The sequence below is a fragment of the Homo sapiens genome, chromosome 7, assembly GCF_000001405.40.
Source record: "Homo sapiens chromosome 7, GRCh38.p14 Primary Assembly".
Classification (NCBI taxonomy): domain Eukaryota; kingdom Metazoa; phylum Chordata; class Mammalia; order Primates; family Hominidae; genus Homo; species Homo sapiens.
Genome location: NC_000007.14, coordinates 92,573,797 through 92,590,949, shown reverse-complemented (window position 1 = coordinate 92,590,949; position 17,153 = coordinate 92,573,797). Strand labels below are relative to the sequence as shown.

At 38.4% G+C, this 17,153-nt stretch overlaps 1 protein-coding gene across 4 annotated transcripts in view, besides 2 other annotated features; it reads left to right on the top strand.

The window, feature by feature from the left end:
- Positions 403-682: an enhancer, noted in NCBI's record as "active region_26264". NCBI's record gives its function as "activates an Ori minimal core promoter by ATAC-STARR-seq in GM12878 lymphoblastoid cells {active_cell/tissue: GM12878}" and the evidence as "EXISTENCE:reporter gene assay evidence [ECO:0000049][PMID:35858748]".
- The window catches only part of FAM133B (family with sequence similarity 133 member B), a 29,633-nt gene continuing 13,039 nt past the window's right edge, over positions 560-17,153 (top strand). The window contains exons 1-9 of one of the 4 annotated variants that reach the window (NM_001040057.3): positions 560-682; positions 5,554-5,652; positions 9,347-9,444; positions 11,555-11,633; positions 12,557-12,631; positions 12,768-12,800; positions 13,233-13,295; positions 13,755-13,847; positions 15,129-15,179. In NM_001040057.3, the coding sequence (NP_001035146.1) occupies positions 9,353-9,444; positions 11,555-11,633; positions 12,557-12,631; positions 12,768-12,800; positions 13,233-13,295; positions 13,755-13,847; positions 15,129-15,179 (486 nt within the window). In that variant the 5' untranslated portion in view covers positions 560-682; positions 5,554-5,652; positions 9,347-9,352. Of the gene's footprint in view, positions 683-900; positions 1,091-5,553; positions 5,653-9,346; positions 9,445-11,554; positions 11,634-12,556; positions 12,632-12,767; positions 12,801-13,232; positions 13,296-13,754; positions 13,848-15,128; positions 15,180-17,153 lie in introns of those variants that run through there. The other 3 variants (NR_109929.2, NM_152789.4, NM_001288584.2) reach the window with 3 other exon arrangements.
- Positions 773-832: an enhancer, noted in NCBI's record as "active region_26263". NCBI's record gives its function as "activates an Ori minimal core promoter by ATAC-STARR-seq in GM12878 lymphoblastoid cells {active_cell/tissue: GM12878}" and the evidence as "EXISTENCE:reporter gene assay evidence [ECO:0000049][PMID:35858748]".

The window sequence follows — 17,153 nt, the reverse complement described above, 5'->3', positions numbered from 1 at the left end:
TATCAAGAATGGAAGAAAGGCCAAGCGCAGTGGCTCATGCCTGTAATCCCAGCACTTTGGGTCGAGGCGGGCGGATCACTTGAGGTCAGGAGTTATAGACCAGCCTGGCCAACGTGGTAAAACCCTGTCTCTACTAAAAATACAAAAAATTTAGCCCGGCGTGTTGACGGCCGCCTGTAATCTCAGCTACTCGGGATGCTGAGGCAGGAAAATCGCTTGAACCCGGGAGGTGGAGGCTGCAGTGAGCCTAGATCGTGCCACTGCACTCCAGCCTGGGCGACGGAGCGAGAGTCTGTCTAAAAAAAAAAAAAAAAAAAAAAAAAAAAAAAAGAATGGAAGAAAGCAAAACAATCCAAGGCCAAACTGAAGCGAGCTGCCTTGGTGGGGCTCCGGTGCAGAAGCGCAGCGTCGCCTGCTCTTGGGTGCCTAATGAACGACCGGACTCCTGCAGGCGCTCCGCCAACTGCAGCGATCTCTGGAGCCGGCCTGTCCTCCACAGAGATAGGGGGCGCTGTAGCAGAGCGCGGCCGTCGAGTCCGCGTGGTGCCGCTCTCTAGGCGGAGTGGGGAGGCGGCAAGAGGACCTGCGGCAGGCCCTCTTCGGCAGTCTCTCCGGCCCGGTTTCCCTCGGCGTGCTACTGTGCGCTCGATCCAGCACCATGGGGAAGCGGGACAATCGGGTGGTGAGTACTCAGCCGGGAAAACAGTGGGGCGACGCAGGGCCCGGCGGCAGGACAGCGAGAACCCTCGCTGTTCCCGGCCGGGCCGGAGGGCAAGCGGCAGCCCTCAGACGTGGGGCCTGGAGACCCAGCACCCTCCGCCGATCCCAGATGCGCGTGCGCCGCGCACGCAGTTGGCGCTTTAGGGTTCCCAGCTCTCTCTTGCCCGCCCCTTTTTTCTTCCCTCACCTCGTCGCTCTTTCTGGCGCTGCTGGTTTGCACTCTTGCCTGCTGTACGCGGGCCCCCAGTGCCCACTTAGAACCGCGAGGGCTCGGGGAACCCCCCCCACACCTGGCCCCGCCATGTAACTCCGAAGACTTAGGCCCTTGGACGCATCCGACTCACCCGCCCCTTGGTATCGGCCGCCCCAGGTCCGCACCCCTCTCCTGCGCACCCAAGTGGGAGGGAGGCACAGAGGCCTCGACGCGGTCCCTGTGCCGGAGAGCCAGCAGCGCGCCTGGTTTTAGCGACAAGCAGGCTCCCGTTTGAAAATGGGATGGCAGCATTTGCTTTCGTGTCTCCAGCGCCCTGTAGGACCTGGCCCCCATAGACACTGTGAGGGAATGAATGGCGTGAAAATAGTTGGCTTTCGAGTCCAACACAAAACTGGAATGTCAGTTTTGTTCCGTCGGAAGTTGGGTGACCTAGAACAAGTTACTTTTCTTCTCTGTGCCGTCGTTTATAAAAGGGGATCATTATTATCTACAACCTTACAGATTAATTGAAATCACAAAAGGCAAGATGTGTGAGCGAGTACTGGGCATGAAAATTATTACTCTAGTGAATGAGATAAAAGAGATGCATAAATAACTTACAGCAGAAAGAGTAGGAAATGGTCCTTGATAGTTGTTAGAGATTCTAAAGGCATTCAAAAGAAAAGGTGCTTTTGAGAAGCGGAGATGGGAGGAAAGTATTCTAGACCGCTGGGGCGGGGAGGGGGCTGAAAAACTCAGGTTATGAATCAGATTGAATGAGTAGTAAACATAATGAAATAACAATAAGCTTAGGTTGCAGCCTGACAATTTCTGGGCTTGCCTGTGACAAAGTTTTAGCCACTGAGTAGCAAAATGAGGAAAATGCACGTAAAACGAATGTGCTACGTTTCTTGAACTCGCTTTTTTATTCAACAATTATTTGCAAGCTGTGTGTGTCTCACACCAAAGGAGACTTAACATTTACGAAATGATGACACTTGCCATCTGTAGTAGCCAGTTCTTGCATGGCTTTTATAAAGAAAAACCTGAGGCTGGGTAATTTATAAAGAAAAGTGTTTAATTGGCTCACGGTTCTATGGGCTGTACAGGAAGCTTAGCGGCATCTGCTTCTGGGGAGGCCTCAGGGAGCTGTTACTCATGGTGGAAGGCAAAGCAGGAGCAGGCGTCTTACATGGCAGGAGCGGGACCAAGAGAGGGACGGGGAGAGTTGCTACACAGTTTTAAACAACCGCATCTGTTGAGAAATCATCTCTATGCAGTGCTGGGGAGAGGAGGATGCTAAGCCATTCATGAGAACTCCGCCCCCATGATCCAGTCACCTCCCACCAGGCCCCACCTCCAACATTGGGGATTACAATTCGACATGAGATTTGGGCGGGGACACAGATCCAAACCATTTCACCATCTTAAAAACTTTGTAGTTCTGTATAGTCTTTATAATGGAAAATGTCTAGGAACCACTGTGGTAGTGAATCTTGATTACAAGATAGCGGGTTGTTCTTTCTCCTGGCTGTAGGTGAGACTTTGTTGTGCTATCTTGATTGTCATGGCGTTGAAATTATGTAGCATAACACCATTTCAGCATAGGAGCATCCTTAGGTGTTTGAGTATTTTGGGCTCTTCTAATACCCTTGGGCCTTGAATGTTTAGAGATCACCTGACCTTGGATGCAGTTTCATATACAGACCTAAAATGTTTCATATTACTGAAAAAACGTTTTGGTTGAAACATTCCTCTAAAACATTTGAAAAACTTACCAAATTAGCTTCATTTACTAGAACATTTTGATAGCTCTGGGCTCTACTTACTACTTTTGGTATGCAGCTATGGCACAGAGTATTCTGGTAACATTTTGTGTGCACTTCAAAGATTGGGATTAAGAACAAGAAATTAAGAGGTAGAAGACACGGATTGTCTAATTCAGTCTCCTCATTGCATAGAGGAGGGGTAAGACTTTAAACTGGGACCAAAACTTCAGTCATCTGACACTCAATTCTGTACATCTTAACTCTTGATTTTCTTTTTAAGACTTTTTTTTTTAAGCATTTTTAGTTTTACAGCAAAATTGAGAGGAAGGTACAAAGATATCCCGTTTACCTCCTGACCCCACTCGTGCATAGCCTCCCCATTATGAACATCCTTCACCAGAGTGGTACATTTGTTAAAATTGATGAACCTACATTGACATGTTACTATCATCCAGTCAGTAGTTTACATTAGTGCTCACTCTTAGTGTTCATTCTCTATGGGCTTGGACAAATAAATTTATTTATTTATTTATTTAGACACAGTATCTCACTCTTGCCCAAGCTGGAGTGCAGTGTCGCCATCATGGCTCACTGCAGCTTCAACTTCCCAGGCTCAAGGGATGCTCTCACGTCAGCCTCCCAAGTAGCTGGGACCACAGGTGTGTGGAACCACACCTGGCTAATTTTTTGTTGTTTTTTTGTAGAGATGGGGTTTCACCATGCTGCCCAGGCTGGTCTCAAATTCCTGGCCTCAAGCAATCCTCCCGTCTCGGCCTCCAAAAGTGTTCGGATTACAGGAGTGCCACCACATGCGTTCACCAATATAGTATCATAAAGAGTAAAAATCCTCTCTTCGGCCTAGCCATTCCTCTACCACCCCTGTCCCCAAGTGTGGCAACCACTGATCTTTTTACTGACTCCATAGTTTTGCCATAACACTTGATTTGGAGCAACAAAATGAATATTTGCTTGTGAAAATATTGGCATTTTTTGAGATTGTCTCAAAAACAGTTCCTGTTCTTTCTTACATTGATGAAACAATCATAGTTTTAAAGATGATAGGATTGCTTTCCAAAAAAAGCCCCAGTGAATTTCAGGTTGAACAGTTTTTTTAATTTTTATTTTTAGAGCAGTTTTAGGTTCACAGCCAAATTGAACAGAAAGTACAGAGGGTTCCCATATACCTCCACACTTGTGCAGCTCTACCATTATCAACATTCGCCAGCACCAGCAGGGTGGTACATTTGTTACATTTCATGAACCTACATCGACACATTATCATCACCCAGAGTCAGTAGTTTGCATTAGGGGTCACTCTTGGTATGCATTCTTGTACAGTTTTTATAACTGAACGTTTTAATTCAGGACTTGTAAAGGGCTCTTAAGTTCATGATGGCCACCTTTTGTGCTTGTTATTTTCCGAAGTGTTCTTCATGTTCTTTTCTGCTACTTTGGGACCTCTAAAATAGATGTATCCTCTAGATAAAAATAGGTAATCAAATTGACAAATGAAATTCTGCACATTGTGTCTTTAGCCAGTTTTACTGCATTGCTCTTTTTGTACCTGCCCCCATACATATCCCCTTGAGACCAATTTGCCATCCTGAGTTTCAGAAACAAATCATTTTCTGTTATCTGAACTCATGCAGCAGTTTGAAGCCACAGAGAATTCTAGTTACATATGGATGTGAATGTTTGATTTACAAGGTCACAGTGTTTATAATGATTAAGTCATAGTGAAATGTTTCAAGAAATTGCACAATCTCTATATTTTAGTGAATGCTTAACCATGCCACCCACTTAATGTTAGAAGCATTATTTTTCACACTGATACAAAAATGAAAACTCCTGTACCTTTGTGAAAATAGTTGCTTGTTTTAAAAGCTTTCTGTTGTGCATAGTTTTAAAGAAAAGTATTGTTGCTTAATGAATAAGAGCAGACTATCAAGTGTTTTGCATGGAGCCTAGAACATAAGATGCACTTTAAAAAATATTGCTATTATAATTGAAATAAACAATGGAGATATTTGGAGTGTACTTAAGCAGACTGAGATAGTGTTTGTGGTCAAAAGCTTAAAAGTAAGCCTTATTCAGCAGTAGTTCATGTAATTGTACCCGTAGTCCTAGCATGTGAATATACTACTTTACTAGCATTTTCCTCTGAAAAGTAGGAATAGGTTGGTATGTACTTTATGAAAGCAGTTTGATAGTACACAGTAAGATGTAAAAATATTAATGTACTTTAAAGATACATGCTAGATAACTTGAAGACTGTAAAACATGGTAAATGTTATAATTTTTTTCATTAGAATGAAAAATTGCCACTGCATTATCTGTGAATTTTTACATAAGGACAGTTCAGCTCTCTGAGTTGGAGTGGCAGTATTGTGGTTGGATTTTTGTCATTTTCTTTACCTTTATTACTATAATAATGTTTACGCAGTTACATTTTTTGTTTTATAAAGGTAATCATTATTTAAAATTTTTTTCTCCAGTGTGTGAATGAATATGGATGTTTTCCTTTATATTTTGGTGCACATGCAGTCTAATTTTTCTGATTTTTAAATTTTTAGTTATTTATTAAAATAATTCTTTCATTTTGGCAACTTGCCTTTGCTTTTCACTTGAGAAATCTTAAACATTTTCTTATCAGGAACTATGGATCTACTTCATTCATTTTAGTAGCTACGTAATATTTAACAGGGTGTGTACTTTAATATATTTAGCGAATCCCAGTTTGATAGCTATTTGGGTGTTTTCAGTGTTTGCTGTTTTAGTAATTTAGACCTGAATATCCTTGATATGTGTATATTTGCACTCTTTGGAAATAAACAGTTTTTACAATTCTAACCTGAAATATTTTGCCATTAGGTACTGCCAAAATTATGACATGATACCAAGGAAATTAGAATGTGATCAATATTGTTGAAAACAAAAACAAAAACCTGAGACCAGTTAAATTTAACAAAGGTAATTTGAGCAAGAAAAAGATTCTAGAACTTGAGGAAGATGTTCTACATCCTGGTGACCTATATTTGCAATAGGAAATGACATACAGAGATTACCTGATTGGTGCAGTTCTGAGTTTGCCTTATTTGGGCATAATTTGGCAGCCTTCTGTTTGGGATTGGTTGAGGGTTGGGCTCCTGTGATTGGCTGAGACTCAGTTGATTGGTTAAGAGGATATACTCTTTGATTAGGTTAGAACTTGTTTGCACATCAAGCCAGGTTGCAGTTCACCATATACAGAGGGTTTTTGTTTTGTTTTGTTTTGTTTTGTTTTGTTTAGTAGAGACAAGATTGGTCTCTCCTGAGCTCAAGCTCCTCCCACCTCACCCTCCCAAAGTGCTAGATTACAGGTGTGAGCCAGTGCACCTGGCTTTTTGGGCCAAATTTTATTACCCAAGTAGGAGGACGCTTTGAGCCCAACTTAACTGTGTTGAACAGTACAAATAATACTCCTGTTTTACAAACGGTGAACTAAGCTGCACATGGTACTTGCCTTCATTGTCTTCATTTCTGCCTTCATTGTTTGTCATACTTCCACACCAACTAATCGAAATGCTTAGCAAAAGCAGTTGAATGAAATATTTGAGGGTATAACAGTTTATACAAAAAATATAACAATATGCCTCTGTCTTTAACATTGCATATGATGTCCACATCTTGCCCTGATTCTGTAAACATTCCTTACATGAGGGGCTCTAGCATTTGTTCCTGCTTGTAGAGAAGTATGTCAAAGATTTATCTTTTTCATTCCAAGTAATTAGGTTTTGTCAGTTGAATGGTAATAGTTCTCAGTATGTGTTGTTTATGCTGGTTTTATATTGTTTACTCTGACAGAGAAATCTGGAAGTATATAACTTTTATCTGTTATAAAGGTGGGAAATGATGGTCATTTTCATAGATTTTGTTAAAATGCAACAAATATATTTTTTCCTTTCACTTATTTTGGATTATTACAAGGTATAACACCTTAAACCAACCTTGAGGGTAGTCATTTTCAATCAAAATTCTTTTTATTTAAAAAGTAGAAGAGTTTCATAAATGTCTATTGACTGGGCACGGTGGCTCACACCTGTTGTCCTAGCTACTCAGGAGGCTGAGGTAGGGGGATTTTTCAAAGTTGCAGTGAGATATGATCACACCACTGACCACTGTACTCCAGCCTGGGCAAAAGAGCAAGACCCTTTCTTTTTTTTTTTTTTTTTTTTTTTTTTGAGACAGTCTTGCTCTTTCGCCCAGGCTGGAGTGAAGTGGCACAATCTCAGCTCACTGCAACCTCTGCCTCCTGGGTTCAAGAGATTTTCCTGCCTCAGCCTCCTGAGTAGGCTGAGATTATAGGCACCCGCCACCACACTCAGCTAATTTTTGTGTTTTTAGTAGAGACAGGGTTTCACCATGTTGGCCAGGCTGATCTCGAACTCCTGACTTCAGGTGATCCACCCGCCCCAGCCTCCCAAAGTGCTAGGATTACAGGCGTGAGCCACCGCGCCTGGCTGACCCTGTCTTTTAAAAAATAATAATAGTAATAAATAAAATTTTTATTGACTTAAATTTGGAAAAACTAAATAGAAGAGGTAGAGACTGAATTAAAGACCAGACTTTATATCAGTAGCAATGCGAATTTTAATAAAACAACATCGCTTTGCTAAACACTGTCATTAACAAAGAAACCTTTTGCTTTGTTTTGCCTCAATATGTTTTTGAAAAAAATCTCTAAAATATTTTTCTGCTGTAGTAAGTGTAGTAGACAGCATGATTTAAATTTTTGCAGATGTTTTAATTGAGCTAAAATATGTATAACAAAATTTACCATTTTAACTGTTTCTAACTATATAGTTTAGTGACATTAAGTACATTCATAGTGTTGTGCAACCATCATCACTATCCATTTTCATCATCCCAAACAAGAACCTCTGTATCAATAAACAGTAAACTCCCAAATTCCTCTTCTCCCCAGACCCTGGTTAACCTCCATTCTACTTTCTTTTCTAGGTATCTCATATAAATGGAATCATATATTTGTTCTTTTGTGTTTTTCTTGTTTTATTTCATTTAGCATATTTTCAAGGCTCATCCAGGTTGCATATAGTATGTATCAGAATTGCATTCTTTTTTAAGGCTGAATAATATTCCATTGTATGTATATACCACAGTTTTGTTTATCCATTTATCCATAGATGGACATTTGCGTTGTTTCCACATTTCAGCTTTTGTGAATTCTGCAGTTGTGAACATTTGTGTACAAGTATCTGTTTAGTCCCTTCTTTGAATTCTTTTGGGTGTATACCTAGATATAGGATCATGTGGTAGTTCTATGTTTAACTTTTTGAGGGACCACTAAACTGTTTTCCACAGTGGCCACACCGTTTTACATTCCCACCAACAATGTGAAAGGGTTCCAGTTTCTCTGCATCCTTGCTAACCCTTGCAATTTTCTGTTTAATAATAGCCATCCTAATGGGTATAGAATGGCATCTCTTTGTTGTTTCAATTTACATTTCCCTAATGACTAGTGATATTGAACATTTTTTTATGTGTTTATTGGCCATTTACTATATACCTTCTTTAGAGAAATACCTATTCTTCTGCCCATTTTTTAATTACTTGGAGTTTTTTTGTTGTTGTTAAGTTGTAGGAGCTCATTTTACATTCTGGATATTAATCTCTTACTAGATTTATGATTTACAAATATTTTCTCTCATTCTGTGAATTGTCTTTTCACTCTTAACAGTGTCCTTTGATGCACAAACATTTTACATTTTGATGTTCTGTTTATTTTTTTCTTGCCTGCCTACAATTTTTGATGTTAACTATTTATGAATAAAATTGTCATCACTATGACATAGTATTTCGTGGGAGACAAGATGTAGTTGAATAAACAATGAATTTAGAGTTAGATCTTATTTAACTTCTTTGGAAATGAATTTATTTTATTTTATGTTATGTTATTTTATGTTATTTATGTTATGTTATGTTATGTTATGTTATGTTATGTTATGTTATTTATTTTATTTTGAGAGGGAGTCGCTCTGTCGCCCAGGCTGGAGTGCAGTGGCACGATCTCAGCTCACTGCAACCTCTACCTCCCGGGTTCAAGTGATTCTCCTGTCTCAACCTCCCGAGTAGCTAGGATTACAGGCGTGTGCCACCATACCTGACTAATTTTTGTATTTTTAGTAGAGGCAGGGTTTCACCACGTCGGCCAGGCTGGTCTTGAATTCCTGACTTCAGGTGTTCCACCTGCCTCAACCTCCCAAAGTGCTGGGGTTACAGGCGTGAGCCACTGCACCAAGCCTGGAATTGAGTTTCTTAATTTTCTAGTGAACATACTGTTATCACCCTCACAGGGTTACTGGGCTTTAGGAGAAAGAGCTGTAAAGCCATCAGTAGGTCAGAGGTATCTATTATTTCATCAAATCTCTTGTAAAACACACACACACACACACACACACACACACACACACACAATTTTCTCCCAAACTTTTAAGACTTAAAAGAGGATTAAATTAATTTTTTTAGAATAAAGAGTTGGTTAGTCAGATTGCATATACTTAGCTGGATATATTATGCATTTATAGTAAAGATTACTTGATGAGTAAGTGAGGTTTTGCATGTTTAATGATTGCTTTAATGGATTAATTGTTGTTCTTTCCCCAAGGCCTATATGAACCCAATAGCAATGGCGAGATCAAGGGGTCCAATCCAGTCTTCAGGGCCAACAATACAGGATTATCTGAATCGACCAAGGCCTACCTGGTATTTGTGAAACACTTTACCTATTTATAAGCTTTTATCAACTTTTTAAAGTTTATTCTTAAGACTTTAATTGATTTTATTGATTACCAAGCAATTGCCAGATAAGTAATTTTTTTAAGTAACATTTGATATGTGCTTTCTTTTGAATGTGTGAAACACGTGTACAATTATAAAGCAAACATTTAAGAACCCACTACCCAGTATAGCCAAAGCACTGCCAGGTAACTTTTTCATACCAGTCTCTTCTCTATTCCATAAAAGACCCTAACCTTGCAGTGGTCAAAGCTATTTAGTGAGTTTAAGTAGTCTTGTCCTTTACTGATGTGTAACCAGATAGCAGGAAGAATAATATTCAGCTTTGTTTCTAGTTTTATCTGCCAGCTTTTCAATGAATTAGAAAAACTGACTGATTTTTGTAAATAAAGCATCAGAGTATGGGCCATGTTATTCTTTAGTATGTCTTCCTCGTTATTAATACCTTACTCCTGAGACAACATACAACAGGCTTCAGAGCTGTTAACTTCAGAATCCCAAGTGCCCCTGAAAACTAGGCAACTGGTTGAAAAGTATGCTTATGTATAATAGGGAATCCTTCCTTTGAGTTAAATAAGAAGTAAGGATTGTTTACCAGTGTGTGTGAATGCCATTGTTAACCATTGCAGCATACCAGAAAATGCATTATCCCAAAACAAAGTATGTTTTAATGGGGAGAGGGAATGAACTTTCGAGGAGAAATGTCCAAGTAAATATATTACATGTGTATCAGAAATCATCAAGACAGCCCTCAGGTTGAGTAACTCGTAGGGACTCACTGGAGTTTCAGCAGATAGTCGTACTCATGGTAAGATTTATTACTGTGAAGGGCTACCAAGCACAATCAGCAAAAGGAAAAGGCACAGGGAGCAAAGTTTGGGTAAGTCCCGGAACAGGCTTTGAAGGGTCCTCCCCTAGTGGGATCACGTGAGAGGCACTTAATGCCCTTAGTAAGGAGTTGTGATAATACATGTGAGATTTTGGCAACCAATTGAAGCTCATTAGAGACTCAGTGCCCAGGGTTTTTATTGAGGCTGGTCAGCCTCTGCCTGTCATGTACCAAAATTCCAGATTCCAGGGCTGGGCATGGTTGCTCATGCCTACAGTTTCAGCACTTCAGGAGGCCGAGGCAGGAGGATTGCTTGAGGCCAGGAGTTTGAGATCAGCCTGGGCAACGTAGCAAGATGCTGTCTCTACAAAAAATATTTATGTGTTTTTTTTTTTTTTTTTAATTAGCTGGATGTGGTAGTACATGCCTGTAGTCTTAGCTACTTGGGATACTGAGGCAGGAGGATTGCTTGAGGCCAGGAGTTGAAGATTACAGTGAACTATGATCATGCCACTACATTCTAGCTTGGGTGACAGAGCAAGGCCTTGTCTCTTTTTAAAAAAAATTCCAGCTTCCCAGAAGGAAAACAGGTATTTAGCTTGAACTACATTGTTTGTACAAACAGTTTTAGGAACAATGATCTGCTCTTATCAGAGAATAGTAAGAATCCTCCGAATTCAAGTTCCCAGATGCCCACCTAGGGCCAGTCTTTTAAGTATGTCTTTCCAAGATTAAGCAGTCAGGCGAGCTGTATTAACTCTTCTCTGCACAGCATGTTAGGTACCTTATTAAATGGGTCATATATGGAATGTAGTAGTTCAGTCAGATAGATTTCAGGGCATCCTAACACTGAAAACTACCAGGTTTATGACCTTAGGTGGATTTCTTACCTTCTCCAAGCTTCAGTTTCTTTATCTATAAAATGGGGATCCATACCTTTTCTCAGAGGGTCGTTGTGAGGATTAAATGAAAATGTATTTTAAATAGTGCCTGTTGTAAGTGCTTAGATGTTTGGTGTATTAGCTCTTATAATCCATATTTAGAAAAGGAGTGATTAGTGTTATTTATTTAGCTTTATTATGGTAATTTATTTTTATAAACGTGAACAAAGAAATTGAAATGTTACCAACATTGAATAGAAGTCTATTAGAATATTTAGAAGAGTTTATGAAATTTTGTTGTCTTATTTGTAAGCATTTATCTAATTTGAATTGCTTGAAATTTTGTTTGTACATTCTATTTTTTAAGGGAAGAAGTAAAAGAGCAACTAGAAAAGAAAAAGAAAGGCTCCAAGGCTTTGGCTGAATTTGAAGAAAAAATGAATGAGGTTTGTAAAAAGTACCTGTTAAAAAAATAGACTAATTTGGCCAGTTATGGTGGCTCATACCTATAATTCCAGCACTTTGGGAGGCCGAAACGGGAGGCCAGGAGTTCATGACCAGCCTGGGCAACAAAGTAAGGCCCCCCCCCGCCGCCCTTGTCTCCATTAAAAAAAAGAAAATACCTTAAGTATTTGGGCATAGCTCTCTCAGTTAAAGAGGTTCTGTATTTTAGAAGTGTTATTGTTATGGTGAATACAAGTTTGTATTTACGTGCATGCTTTAAAAAATGAAGAAGAATCATCTTGTAATGTAAGTCATCTAAGACTTAGATAACTTGGATTCCAAGTTAGGGTTGAGCAGTCCTCCTACTTCAGCCTCCTGAGCAGCTGGGACCACAGTTGCAGGCCACTATGCCCAGCTAATTTTTTTTTTATCTTTAGTAGAGACAGGTTCTCACTATGTTGCCCAGGCTGGTCTCCAACTTCTGAGCTCAAGCGATCTTCCCACCTTAGCCTCCCAAAGTACTGTGATTACAGGTGTGAGCCATTATACCCAGCCTGTTTGCTTGTTTTGATTACAAACATGTATATAACATATCAATCACAGTAATGATTAATTCAACTTTTACAGCCTAGACGGAGAATCTAGCCATCTTTGTTGAAAAGAGACCTCAGCTTCAGTAATAATGCCTGCTGCTCAATAATACAGAACCCCTATCCCTTAATATGCTCTTTGAAAAGAGCTAGTAGAGGGTCCTTTGGTGATAGGGTCAAGGATTGGCACCTGTGTTTCTTTTGACTGTAATTAGAAGCTGAAATGGGTGAGAGGTATTAAGAGGATGGAGGGAAGGAAGCAGTGGCTGTCTCTGTATATTAGGTGTATTGGAAAGGTTAGATAGTCTCTGATGGTGTTCATAACCTTTTTGCAGAACTGGAAGAAAGAACTGGAAAAACACAGGGAGAAATTGTTAAGTGGAAGTGAGAGCTCATCCAAAAAAAGACAGGTAATACCACTTTTAGTTTATTGCTATTCTTAATCTCATAGTTGGATTTTCATAATAATGCTGTATACTACTGTTAATAGATGCATTTGCAAACTCACATCAGCTTATTTAGACTTGTACTTTTGTTTCCATTTAGAGAAAGAAAAAAGAAAAGAAGAAATCTGGTAGGGTGAGCAAAAATTTTCCATTTTTCTAAACGTTACAATTAAGAGCCAACAAAAAAAGTAAGAATAATTTGTTTAACCTGTATGCTAAAGGTAGCTTAAACTCCAGATGAGTCAAGGAACTTAGAGGTTCTTTGATTGTGAAGAGTGATTTTGTTCTATCACTGACATAAAAAACGGTGCCAACCACCTTATAACGTAGTACATTTTCTGTTGCTATTTAAAGAGAAAGATTGGTGACCATGGCCACATATGTTAACTTGTTGAGCTTTTGTACAGGGAACAAGTGTGACATTTTATATTTTCATATTTATGACTTATGAATATGGCATCTGTTTCTCAGACACTAGATTGATTTCACTAAGTATTTGAGAGACTTTGTAAAAGAAAAACATTCTCGCATCTCACAAGCTTTAATTGTTTTGTGCTTGGTCAAGTATTCATCTTCTTCTTCATCAAGCTCTGATTCTTCCAGCAGTTCTTCTGATTCTGAAGATGAGGTAAGGTTTGCTTATAATGGTTCATGAAATAATATCTCTTAATTTCTTTAATGTCAAGTGGAAACCCATTGTGAAATATCTGTTAGAAATGTTGACTTCCAGGTTTTGATTAATTATCCATAACTTAGAGGACTAACATGAGTGAGTGGTAACTAGGAACTTAAATATTGGTATATAATATATTTTTTAGATTTTAAAATTTGTTTTGTTGACCTAAAAATATCAGTAGAAGAAAATATTTGAAAAATCAAATGCTATTTGACTAGATGCTAGGCATTACATGTGATTCAAATCACTTGATCTTTATAACAGGAAAGTGATGTATTAAGTATTAAGAAAAAAATATAGAAACTGATCCTTTTGTGAAATTTTGTTCACTGATAAAAGTTTTATATTAATAAATGTGTAAATTAGATTTTTGAGACAGAAAGCAAATGTTTCTAAAAATATTTTATGTAGGATAAGAAACAAGGAAAACGGAGAAAGAAAAAGAAGAACCGTTCACATAAATCTTCTGAAAGCTCCATGTCAGAAACTGAATCAGACAGTAAGGTAAATTATTTAAATTATTAATATATTGGATACAAAGACATTTAATTAAGTTTTTCTGCCTAAAGTTGCTCTCAATTTAAAAATAAGATAGTCTGATATTTGTACTTTGATGTTCTATGCCACTTAATTGATATACTTGATAATATCTTGCATGTGACATTTAATAATTCAAGTGCTTTCATATATATATATCTCCATGTCTCCACATTTCCATGGCAACTGACATTATTGTCCCTGTTTTCATAAAGAAGTTAGAGTTCAGATAAAAAGCATTGGCTTAAAATGATACAGCTGGAATTAGAATTAAAAGTTGAGTCTTTATCTTCTAAAATCTGGTCCAATGTCCTTTCTACTATACCGTACCTAAATTTGTTCTGTACTAACCAGGATTGTCAGACACACAGTTGGCTTTCAAACATTACTGGTCAGAAAAAAGTTAAGAAGTTCTCGGAAAAAAGTGTTGATTCCTGAGCCCTACCTCCAGAGTCTGTTTTAGTATCTGATTAGGCTTGGAAACCTACGTCTTTAACAGATGCCCTGTGTGATTCTGATACTGGGGTGTTTATGGACCACAATTTGACAAACACTGTACTAGAGTCTCAGGAAACCAAAGCAGCTGTCTGCATTTATAACAGATAGCTGCCTGCCCCCGTGAGAGATCTTCTGGCAAAATACCTAGCATCTAGAAAGTACTCAGTAAATGTTGGTTTTCTCTTTGTCTTTTAAAGCAGAAGAGCTAGTCTCATGATAATGATAGCTAACATTTATTGAGTGCCTACTATCTGTTAGGCACAATTCTAAGCACTTAATTTATTAACTCATTGAATCTCAACAACTTCAGGAAGTAATTTGGTAATCCGCTTTATGGATAAAGTGGATAAGGAAACTAGGCTTAGGAAGATTAATAGCTAGAACTCAAAGGATTCAAAAGCAGAAATTGTTGCCTCCTCAAATTAGAATACAACTCCAGTACATGTGACCACCATAAGCAAACACAGGCAATGACACGAAGTCCTATTTTAAAATAAGCTGTGTGGGTATTACAGACAGTACTTATCATTTTAAGAGTAAATTTGGTATACAGCCAGATAAAGAAGCCTGTTTGCTTACAAGCAAATGTATACATAACTTATATTTCTCTTAAATTTTCGGAATAATATACTGGGATTGGAGTAGCCTTTTTTCAGTCATAGAGCAAATCACTTTTTGGGTGTTTTTGTCCTTGTTCTGTAATGCTGTGTCCTTGGCATTTAAAATTGATACATATATTTCTTTGTTTAGGATAGTTTAAAAAAGAAAAAGAAGTCAAAAGATGGAACTGAGAAAGAAAAGGTAACTATACTTTTACATTGCCTTAAGATAGTCTGTCATATAATACTTAATTGACTTAAATAACAATAATGTGTATCTCTTTTTAAGAGATATATTTATTTTGTTTTTGTAATATTTTGTTTCAATTTAAAGCAATTTTTAATTTGGATTCATTATTGAAGATAAAGGATCAAAAGAGTATTCTAGGCCAAGAGTTTGAATTTATATAGATTAATGGATTATCTCAGATTAAAAATACAAAATAATGCAGATTAGCAGATTAAACATTTCCTTTGATTTCTTTTTTTCTTTTTCTTTTGAGATGGAGTCTCGCTTTGTCACCCAGGCTGGAGTACAGTGGTGCCGTTTCAGCTCACTGCAACCTCTATCTCCTGGGTTCAAGCGATTTTCCTGCCTCAGCCTCCCTGTAGCTGGGACTACAGGTGTGTGTCACCACGCCCAGCTGATTTTTGTATTTTTAGTAGAGACGGTTTCGCCATGTTGGCCAGGCTGCTTTCAAAACCCTGACCTCAGGTGATGCGCCTGCCTCGGCCTCTCCGTGCCCAGCCTATTTCCTTTGATTTCTTAAACCATTTTGAAGAAGGCCCTTCCAATTAAAGAACATTAATTTCTCTTTCAAATTGAATATACCATAGATAAATATTGAAAAATCTTCTTACTATTGTAAATAAATGTTTTACCTTCATTTATAACTTACCTATATAGTTAAAGCAGAATTTATGCCTACCTTAATTTCTGGTTTACATTTAAAATTGTTATTCTGGTTATTAAAAATAAAAACCTAAAGAGGGCAGTAATAAAACTACAGACCAGTGTCACTAGTTTTTACTCAGAATTTACATATTTTTTTTTTTTTTTTGAGACGGAGTCTCGCTCTGTCGCCCAGGCCGGACTGCGGACTGCAGTGGCGCAATCTCGGCTCACTGCAAGCTCCGCTTCCCGGGTTCATGCCATTCTCCTGCCTCAGCCTCCCGAGTAGCTGGGACTACAGGCGCCCGCCACCGCGCCCGGCTAATTTTTTGTATTTTTAGTAGAGACGGGGTTTCACCTTGTTAGCCAGGATGGTCTCGATCTCCTGACCTCATGATCCACCCGCCTCGGCCTCCCAAAGTGCTGGGATTACAGGCGTGAGCCACCGCGCCCGGCCCATATTTTTTTAATGATAGAAAATGAAACTGAAATTCAGTTTCAGTTTCATTTAATATACCATGGTACACAATGGTATATACCATATTTTAAAGCTAAAATTCAGTATTAATGTATTTACAGTGTTGTGCAACCACCATCTCACTCTCGTTTCAAAACTTTCATCAGCCCATAAAAACACTCCATATCCATTAAATAATCACCACCACTCCCTCATTCTCTAGTAACCTCTAATGGGTATTCTGACTATGGATTTGCCTATTCTGGATTTATCATATAAAAGCAGTCATACAATATGCGACCTTTTGTGTCTTTCAGCTGGCATAGTATTTTCAAATTTCATCCAAGTTGTAGCATGTATCAGTACTTTGGTTTTTTGTATGGCTAAGTAATATTCCGTGTGTGTGTGTGGCGGATTTCGCCATCCATTCATTTGTTGATGGACATTTGGTTTTGTTTCTACCATTTGGCTATTGTAATGATGCTATGGACATTTATAAACACAAGTTTTTGTATGGATGCATGTTTTCATTTCTCTTGGGTATATGCCTAGGAGTGGTTTACATAACAATTTGCAAATAAAAATTAATTTTAAATTTTTTTTAATTAATTTTAAAAACTAACCAGGCGTGATGGCATATGCCTGTAGTCCTAGCTACTTGGGAGACTGAGCCCACAAGGTCATGCCACTACACTTTATCCTGGGAGAGAGAGTGAGACCCTGCATCTAAATTTAAAAAAAAATAAAATTTAATTTAAAAAGACACTTAAAAAAGAAACTGTAATGACCAATTCCAAGAATTCAAGGATAATTTAATATAATTTGCC